Below are 11129 nucleotides of genomic sequence, written 5' to 3' on the forward strand. Positions count from 1 at the left end.
AAAATAAATCTTCAGAAACTGTCCTTGAAGAAATACACACATTGGATTTACAAGACAAAATTAAAAAAAGAAAACTGTTTTAGATATGTTCAAACACCTAAAGGAGAATGCAATTAAAGAATTAAAGGAATCCAGAAACTGACATATGAATAAAATGAGAATATCAACAAAAAGAAATTATTAAAAGGGACCAAACAGAAATTCATGAGCTGAAAAATACAATAACTAAACTGGAAATTTCACTAGAGGGATTCAGCAGAAGACTTGATGAGACAGAGGAAATAATCAGTGAACTCGAAGACAGACCATTTGAAATTATAGAGTCTGATAAGCAAAAAGAAAAAAGTATGAAGAAAAGTATATAGAGCAAAAGAGACTTAAGGGATACCACCAGGCAGACCAGTAGATGCATATGGAAATCCCAGAAAGATAAGAGAGAGTGAAAGAGGTAGAGAGATTACTTTTATTGGTAATGGTTAAAAGCATCTCTAATTTGAGGAATGACATGCATATAAAAATCCAAGAAGCTCAACAAACTCCAAGTATGATAAACCCAAAGAGACACATAATCAAATTATCAAAAGCTAAAGACAGACAGAATTTTGAAGGCAGCAAGGGAAAAGTGACCCTTTATGTATAAGGGATTATCTATAAGATTATCAGCAAATTTTTCAGGAGAAACCCTGCAGGCCAGAAGGCACTGGGATGATATATTTAAAGTGCTGAAAGAAAAAGACTGTCAACTAAGGATCCTACATTCAGCATAACTGTGCTTCAAAAATGAAGAAGAAATGAAGACAGTCCCAGGTAGTCAAGCCTCTGCTACCTTAAGCCACTCTAAATAATGATATCTAAAACTTCATATAGCCACTTGGCAGCAGATATGTGAATAGATTGGAAGGTCTGGGTGGAAGGGGACTCTTATTTATTTATTTATTTATTTATTTTGAGATGGAGCCTCACTCTGTTGCCCAGGCTGGAGTGCAGTGGCGCAATCTTGGCTCACTGCAACCTCCACCTCCCAGATTCAAGCAATTCTCCTGCCTCAGCATCCCAAATAGCTGGGACTACAGGCACGCACCACCACACCCAGTTAATTTTGTATTTTTAGTAGAAACGGGGTTTCACCATGTTGCCCAGACTGGTCTTGAACCCCTGACCTCAGGTGATCCACCCACTTCAGCCTCCCAAAGTGCTGGGATCACAGGCGTGAGCCACTGCGCCCAGCTGGAAATGAAGACATTCCCAGAAAACCAAAAGCTGAGGGAGTTCATTGCATTAGGCAACACAAATAAGACTACCCCAAGGCATAGAATAATCAAACTCTCAAAGGTCAAGGACAAGGAGATGATCCTAAAAGCAGCAAGAAAAAAAAGAAGCAAATAACATATAAGAGTTCTAATTCATCTGGTAACAAACTTCTCAATGGGAACTATATAGGCCAGGAGGGATTCGGGTGACATTTTCAAAGTACAAAAAAAAAAAAAAAAAACTGCCATCAAAGTATATTTTATCCAGCAAAGCTACACTTCAAATACAAAGGAGAAATAAAGTCTTTCCCCAATAAACAAAAGCTAAGAGAATGCACCATCACCAGACCCATCTTAAAAGAAAAGCTAAAGGGAGTTCTTTAATGTGAAAGAAAAAAAACTAATGTGTAAAAAGAAAATATTTGAAGGTATAAAACCCACTAGTAAAATTAAGTGCACAAACAAACCCAGGATACTGTAATGCTGTAATTATGGTGTGCAATCAGCTAATAATTCTAGTATGAAGCCCAAAACACAAATCTATTAAAAACAATAATAGCTATAGCAACCTGGTAAGAGATAGGCAATATTAAAAATATGCAAATTGAGACAACATAAAGTCAAAATGGGGGGTGAGTTAAAGTGTGAAGGTTTTTTAAATTGTTTGTTTCTATACTTTTCTAAGCTAAGTGATCATCTCTTTAAAATAATTTGTAAGCCTCATGGTAGCCACAAGGCAAAAACCTATAATAGATTCATAAAAATAAAAAGAAACAAATTAAAATATACTACCAGAGAAAAATCACCTAATCACAAAGGAAGACAGAAAGGAAGAGGAATTATGAAACAAGAACACAAGCAACAAATGGCAGTAGTAAGTCCTTAATAACATTGACTATAAATTGACTCAATTCTCTAATTGTAATGGCTCAATGAATAAAGAAAAAAGACCCAACTCTATGCTGCCTACAGGAAACCCACCTCACCTATAAAGACACACATAACCTGAAAGTGAAGAGGTATTTCATGCAACCTGAAACCAAAAACAGAGCACGAATAGCTATACTTATATCAGGTAAAATACATTACAAATCATGACTGCACAAAGAGACAAACAAGGTCACTAAATAATGATAAAGATGTCAATTCAACAAGAAAATATAGCCATTATAAATATGCATTCAATATCAGAGCTCCCAAGTACATAAAGCAAGCATTAATAGTTGTAAAGGGAGAGATAGATTATGATACAATGATTATAGAGGACCTATTGTCGGTAATGGACAAATAATCCAGACCAAAAAATCACCAAAAAAAGTTGGAGTTAAAATACACACTATACCAAATAGGCCTAACTGATATTTACACAACATTTCACTCAAATACTGCAGAATATACGTTCTTTTCAGCAGCACACAGAACACTTTCCAGTACAGACCAAATCTTAGGCCACAGAACAAATTTCAACAAATTAAAAAGAGTGGAAATCATATCAAGCATCTTTTCTGACCACAAAGGAATAAAACTGGAAATCAATAACAAGAGAAATCTCAAAAACTACACAAACACATGGAAATTAAACAACTTGCTTCTGAATGATAAATTGGTCAATGAAAAAATTAAGAACATTAAAAAATTTCTTGAAACAAATGAAAATGGAAAAACAACATACTGAAATCTATGGAATACAGCAAAATAAATATTAAGAGGAAAGTTTATTGGAATACACTTGTATCCATAAAGTAGAAAGACTTCAAATAAAACAACTTAATAATTATACTAGTCAATTCTCATATCACTATGAAGAAATACTCAAGACTGGGTAATTTATAAAGAAAAGAGGTTTAATGACTCACAATTCTCTATTGCTGGGGAGGCCTCAGAAAACTTACAATCATGGTGGAAGATGAAGGAGAAGCAAAGGCACATCTTACATGGCAGCAGGTGGGAAAGCATATGAGCCAGTTCAGGGGAACAGCCTTTTATAAAACCATAAGATCTTGCGAGATTCCCTCACTATCACAAGAACACCATGGGGAAAACCACCCCTATGATTCAATTATCTTCATCTGGTCTCTCTTGACACATGGGGATTATGGGGATTACAATTCAAGGTGAGATTTGGTTAGGGACTCAGATCCAAACCATATCAGTCATGCATCTCAAAGAACTAGAAAAGCAAGAACAAATCAAACCTTAAATTAGCGGAAGGAAAATAATAAAGATCAGAGAAGAAATAAATGAAAATGAAGCTAAAAAAATACAGATCAATGGAATAAAACAAGTTGGTTTTTTTGAAAAGATAAACAAATTGTCAAATCTTTAGCTAGACTAAGAAAAAAGAGAGAAGAGCCAGGTAAATAAACTTGGAAACAAAATAGGAGATATAACAACTAAGACCACAGAAATGCAAAGAATCATGAGAGACTATTATGAACAACTGAACACCAACAATTGGAAAACCTAGAAGAAATGGATAAATTCCTAACACATACAACTTACTGAGATTGAACCATGAATAAATAGATAATTTTAACAAACCAATAATGAATAATAAGATTGAAGCTGTAATAAAAAATTTCCCACCAAATAAAACCCCAGGACATGACAGCTTCATTGCTGAATTCTATTGAACATTTAAAGTAAAACTCTTACCAATTCTACTCAAATTCTTCAAAAAAATTGAGAAAAAGAGAATACTTCCAAACCTACTCTGTGATGCCAGCATTACCTTGATACCAAAACCACATAAAGAAACAACAACGTAAAAGGCTATAGGTCAGTATCACTGATAAAGTGATAAATATCATTAAAATGGCCAAAACCGCAATTACTTTTGCACCAACCTAATACTAGCAAACCAAATTCAACAACACATTAAAAAGATAATTTACCATTATCAAGTGGAATTTATGTCAGGAATGCGAGGATGGCTTAACATATGTAAATCAAGAAACATGATACATTGTATGAACAGAACCAAGAACAAAACATATATGATCATTTCAATAGATGATGAAAAAGCATTTGACAAAATTTAACATCCCTTTAGGATGAAAACCATAAAAAACTGGGTGTAGAAGAAACATACCTCAAATGATAAAGGCCAAACCCTCAGCTAAAATCATACTGACCAGGAAGAAATGGAAAGCCTTTCCTCTAAGATCTGGAATAGGATGAAAAGGATGCTGAATTTTACCACTTTTATTCAATATAATGCTGGAAATCTTGGCCAGAACAATTAGGCAAGAGATAGAGATGAAGGACATCCAAATTGAAAAGAAATATGTCAAATTAGCATTGTTCACAGACATGATTTCATACTTAGAAAAATCTAATGACTTCACCAAAGAGACTGTTAGAACTGATATATTCAGTAAAGTTGCAGGATACAAAATCAACATTCAGTAAAGTTGCAGGATACAAAATCAACATACAGCAATCAGTAGCACTTATATTCACCAGCAGCATACAATCTGAAAAAAAATCAATAAAGTAAGCCCATTTGCAGTAGTGATAAAATGCCTAGGAATCAATTTTATCAAAGAAATGAAAGATCTATACAAGTAAAACTAGAAAACACTGATGTAAGAGATTGAAGAGGATATACACCAAAAAGAAAAGATATCCCATGCTCATGGATTGGAAGAATTAATACTGTGAAAATATCCATACTATCCAAAATAATTTACAGTTATGCAATCCCTATTAAAATACTAATGACGGTCTTCACAGAAATAGAAAAAAAATCCTAAAATTTACATGGAACCACACAAAACCCAGGAGAACCAAAGGATTCTTAAGCAAAAAGAGCAAAGCTAGAGGCATCAAACTGATTTCAAAATATAGTAAACAAATCTGCATGGGACTCACATAAAAATGGACACATAGACCAATGGAACAGAATAGAGCACTCAGATATAAATACACGAATTTGTAGTAAACTCATTTTCAACAGCAGTGCCAAGAGCTTACAATAGGAAAGGACAGTCTCTTCAATAAATGGGAAATAAATGCTGGGAAAACTGGATATCCATATGCAGAAGAATGAAACTAGACCCCTGTCTCTCTCCATAAACAAAAATCAAATCAAAATGGATTGCAGACTTAAATCTAATACCTGAAACTATGAAATTATTAGAAGAAAACATTGGAGAAATGTTTCAGGACATTGGTCTAGGCAAGTATTTTTTTGTGTAAGACCTCAAAAGCATATGCAACCAAAGCAAAAATAGAGAAGTGGGATCATATCAAGTTAAAAAGCTCTGCACAGCAAAGAAAACAATCAACAAAGTGAAAAGACAACTCATGGAGTGGGAGAAGATATTTGCAAATTATCCATCTGACAAGGGATTAATAACCAGGTATTTAAGGAGCTCAAACAACTAAATAGGAAAAAACCCCAAATAATCTGATTTAAAAATAGGCAAAGGATTCAAATAGACATTTCTCAAAAAAGATGTACAAATGACCAAAAGGTATATGAAAAGATGCTCAACATCGCTAATCATCAGATAAATGCAAATCAAAACTACAATGAGATATCATCCCACCCTAGTTAAAATGGCTTTTATCAAAAAGACAGGGAATAATGAGTGTTGGCAGGGATGTGGAGAAAGAGGAACTCTTGTATACTGCTGATGAGAATGTAAATTAGTACAGACACTATAGAAAACTGTAGGGAGATTCCTCAAAAAACTAATAGTAGAACTACCATATAATCCGGCAGTTCTGCTACTTGGTATATAGCCAAAATAAATGATATCAATGTATCAAAGAAAGATTTGCACTTCCATGTTTATTGCAGCAGTATTCACAATAGCCAAAGTATGGAATCAATCTAAGTTCCCATCAACAGATGAATCAATAAAGAAAACTGTATATATGCAGTACATATACACAATGAAATACTATTCAGCCATACAATATGAAATCTTGTCCTTTATAGCAACAAGGATGGAACTGGCGTTCATTATGTTAAGTGAAATAAGGGAAAGATGAATATCGTATGTTCTCACTCTTATGTAGGAAATAAAAAAGTAGATCTCATGAAGATAAAGAGTAGAGTGACAGTTATCAGAGGCTGGGAAAAGTAGCGAAGCCAGGGCATAGAGTTTGCTTAATGGGTACAAATATAGAGTTTGATAGAAGAAATAAGTCCTAGTGTTTAATAGATCAGTAGAGTGACTATAATTTACAATAATCTATCATATATTTCAAAAAAGCTAGAAGAGAATAATTGGAATGTTTCTAGTATAAAGAAAAGACAAATATTTAAAGTGATGAATATCCTACTTATAGTCATTTGATCTTTTCAAACTATATGATTGTATTAAATTATGACATGTACCTCTAAAATGTGTACCTCTATTACGTATGAATACAAAAATAAAATTGATAAAAAAATTTTAAAGGGAGTCCTTGAAGTTGAAATGAAGGATGCTAGATAGTAGCTGAAAGCTATAAAAAATATAAATTTCTTTGGTAAAAAAATGCATGGACAAATTTATTTTTAACAGTATTATTGTAATCTGATTTGCAAATCCACTTTATTTTCTACAGGAGTTAAAGAAAAATGTATAAAATTAATTATAAATCTATGCTAATGGGTACATAGTATATAAAGATGTAATTTGTGACATCATAAGTCATGCAGAAGGTGAAGCTGTAAAGTGAATTTATATAAGCAATTGATATTAAGTTAGTATCAATTTAAGACAGATTATTATAATTTTATGATATATGTAATCCCCATGGTAACCACAAAGAAAATATCTATAGAATATACACAGAAGAAAATGAAAAGGCATTCTAAACATGTCACACAAAAAAATCAACTAAACAAAGGCACCAATGGAGGTAACAAAGGACAAAAAAATCTGTCAGGCATATAGAAAAGAAATAATAAACTAGCAAAAGTAAGTCTTTTCATACCAGTAATTACTTTAAATGTACATGTATTAAACCCTACAATAATAAAACAGAGACTGGCAGAATGGATTAAAAAAAAAACAAAACTACTCAGAATCCAAGTATATGCTGTGTGCAGAGATTCACTTTAGCTCTAAGGATATGCATAGGTTGAAAGTGAGGAACAGACAAAGATATTCCATGCAAATATTAATAGTAACCAAGAGAGAGCAGGGGAAGTTAAGCAACTATTACACACAAAAAAAGACTTTAAGTCAAAAGTTGTTACAAGAGACAAAGAATAAAGACACTCAACATCACTTATCATTAGAGAAATGAACATCTAAACCACAGTGAGCTATCATCTCATATCTGTTAGGACAGCTATTATTAAAAAATCAAAAACAAAACCAAAAAATGAACAAAAACAAACCTCACCAAAAAATAAATAAATAAAAAATAAAAAGTGCTGGCACAGATGTGGTGAAATGGAAATCCTTGTACATTGTTGGTGGGAATGCAAAATGATGTAGCCACTGTGCAAAATGATATGGTAGTTCCTCAAAAAATTAAATCTGGGCACAGTGGCTTAATCCTGCAATCCTAGCACTTTGAAAGCCCGAGGTGGAAGGATTGCTTGAGTCCAGGAGTTTGAGATCAGCCTGGGCCACACAGACCCCGTCTCAAAACAAAATTAAATACAGAATTATCATATGATCCAGCAATTCTACTTCTGTACACATACCCAAATGATTTTAAAGCAGAGACTCCAACAGATTTTAGCACACCCACAGCCAAGAGGTGAAAGCAACCCAAGTGCCCATCAATGAATGAATGAATAAATAAAATGTAAAAAGTAAGGAAATTCTGAGACATGTTACAATATGAATGAACCTTGAAGACATTATGTTAAGTAAAAATAAGAGTCACAAAAAGACAAATACTACATGATTCCACTTACATGAAGTACCTAAAGTAGTCAAATTTGGAGAGAAAGAAAGTACAATGGCAGCTTCCAGGGGGTGAGGAGAGGGAAGGATGGGGAATTAATATTGTTTAAATAGTACCGAGTGCTAAGGTTAACACTTCTTCCTATCACTGTGGCCAATAGAGCCTGCCTTGACCATTGCATGGAAAGATTTTAATCTCTATGATACCAAGGCATCTTTGACTTTCTAATGCTGCTAGAGATCATAAATATAATGTCTATGTCACATACATACTAACACAAAAGGGTATTTTTATCTTATTGCCAATGTACCTATTTTCTTTTTATATAATTTGAGATGTGATATTTCACTCATATCAGTAAGTTAAATATTTTGGTATATGGATAGCAAAGATAGTAAATGACCATTTCCTTGACGGAATTAATTTAGGAGCAACGTAGACCCAGAAGTGGTCTAACGTACATTTTTCTCCCAATCTAAATGTATCAGATTTACTTGGTGCACATATTAGTCTCCCTACTTAAAATAATCATGCTTCTTCATTCTACCTGTTCAAATTCCACCCATTATTTAGAGCCCAGGTGAAGGCAAATATTTTACAAATCATTTCCTGACTATCCCAGCCCATATTCATCTTCCTAACCTCTAGTCTCTATTTAATCATTTAGTGCTTAGTGATAGAATGCTTTGTATTATTTGCTATCATTTTATATTTTAAAACCAACTAAAATGTATGAAACAACTGATAATTATTCCAGCCTGAAAGGACAACCTGAGACAGTGATACAAGGTAAATTCAATAAAACCAAAATGTGAACTTGTTTATTCTCTTTAAAGCCTACCCAACATGAACATGAGTTCAAAAATACTATTGATTTGGGTTATCCAATGAGTTACTTCTAAAAACTTGTTTATGGAAGACTGGAGGAATTCTTTCCTTCTCTCTCACCCCCAGCACACACACATAATACAACACATAAACTAGCACACACACTCAACCACACATACTTGGACATGAGTAACAAGTGTATGGAAAGAAACTCTCTGGATACTAAAACAATAGAGCACACTACGTGTGCTCAAAATTCACACACCCACAGTCATCTATAACCTAAATTCAGAGTCCGTTTCATTGGTGGTTAGGGCACGCCTCTGGGCATTGAACTGCTGGGTTAATCTGGGAATTATTCTTTTAGATCAGACATGAAATCAAGCAGAGAAAAATGAGAGAGGAGGTGGAGGGTAGTTGTCTTTTTCCTGCAATAAGAAAATGTGTATTCCAACAAACTGAAGAAAATTGAGTTCACTGTTTATAGTTAAAACTACATATTACTTTGAGTTCAAATTCTTTCTATTAATACATAAGATTTATTGAAGTTATATTGTTTGAGTAGGATCAAGAAAGCTGAATATTATTTCAGGTTTTCAAGCCATAAGGACAAATAGTGCCTTTAGGTTTTCCATTCAACTAGGAAAATTATAGCTTCATATTTGCAACACTAAAGCTAATGCAGTGTCAGCACCTCCATCAAACTCCGTTGTTCAGCAGTTTATAATTCAAGCAGAAATGTTCACTCCAAGACCAAACTTGGCCTACACAATCTCAAAGAAAATGGAGAAAAAATTATTTTGGCTAGCGCTGACTTATAAAAGCAAAAGAGAGGGTGCTTTTACAAAGTGCTTTGAAAAACATCTTTGAGAATTTGAGAATGTAACTGGGGATTACTGAGTTGACATCCAGCATTACTAAAGTTATAGAAAGGACCCAAAATTCCATGACATCACATCAGCATCAGGAGTATCACAACTACTTTCATGAAATTCTTCATCAGGACTAATTTCCTTATCAAACAGAATTACTGTTAATAGGAAAAAAAAACAGTTATAGTGGAAAATAAAGACAGGTAAAAATTTCTCATGAAGGCAACACAAGACTTTAGATCCATTTTCCCTTTAAGTACTGACTCTCTAGTGCACCATACAGACATATATAAAATGAAAAAAAAATTTTTTTTCCCCACTTTTCAAAGTAGTTCATAATGGCGGGCTGGAATTTCCAGAAACAACTTTTCTCTTCCCAAATGCTAACTTGTACGTAGAAACAGCTTAATGTAGAAGGGGATTTCCAGCTGCAGGTGACAAGAGCTATTGGGCTCCTCATTTACTGAAGCTGGGTGGGGAGCCAGTGAATTCTGGGATCTCATGCACTTTGAAGTCCTGTGGTAGGTGGTTTGTAGATTGCCTGGTGCCTTTGTGGCATTCTGTGGGTAAGTTGGCCGCCAACCCCTCATTGCTCTGATCTCCCACACCTTAAAAATATGTCAAAACTTTAATATAGTGGGATCAGGGCATTACATTAAAAAATCATCTTTTCCTATCTATACAAGGCTCGCTTGTACTAAATACAGTGTAATTCTAGGCACTCCGTGTCTGTTTTCACTCAGCATTTATTAAAGCCCTATTATGGGCCAGGCCACAGATGATTTGATGCGATTCTCATCCTTTAGAAGGTTTCAGGAGAAAACAAAAAGTCCATAAAAGGAATTCCAGTACAATTGTGGAGTGCCATCTGGACGACTTCACTGAAAAGGTTCTGGAGGTGTCAGAGCGACACCTCCTCTCTTCCCCACTAGGCAGTTCTCACCAACCTTTGAAATCACACTGACTCACCTGGTGGGTGTTCCCTTAAGTTCCGTTCGTTTATCAAGCACTTCCTGTCCCTGGGACCCTGGGTCCTGGAACCATCAGGCCACGGAGAGATACGGAAGAGAGGGCGAGCCTTAAGGCGTCGCCTAGGAGGGTCTGGCCGGGCCTCTGGCATTGCCGGGGGCAGGGAGGGCTTAAAGGGCTCAAGGCTCACCTGATTGAACTGTGCAGCTATGAGCGAGGGTTCCCATATCTTAGAACTGGTGTTCACAGTTCCTCCTTTCTCCTTCTTGGGTGCCATGCAAAGGACGGGAGAAGCATTGGCCTCTAAACTGGGCGCAGGCCCTGCCTAAGCGTCCCCGCTACCACAGTA

General features: G+C 34.9%; 1 protein-coding gene across 6 annotated transcripts in view; it reads right to left on the reverse strand.

The window, feature by feature from the left end:
- SPAG17 (sperm associated antigen 17) overlaps positions 1–11128 on the reverse strand; it is a 231639-nt gene extending 220511 nt beyond the window's left edge. For all 6 annotated transcript variants that reach the window (XR_946574.2, XM_006710427.4, XM_006710426.4 and 3 more), the window contains exon 1: positions 10971–11128. Coding sequence is in view for 5 of the 6 variants with exons in the window: in XM_006710427.4 (XP_006710490.1) it covers positions 10971–11057 (87 nt within the window). In the remaining variant the exon portion in view is untranslated. The remainder of the gene's footprint in view (positions 1–10970) is intronic.

Source organism: Homo sapiens, chromosome 1, assembly GCF_000001405.40.
Source record: "Homo sapiens chromosome 1, GRCh38.p14 Primary Assembly".
Lineage (NCBI taxonomy): Eukaryota > Metazoa > Chordata > Mammalia > Primates > Hominidae > Homo > Homo sapiens.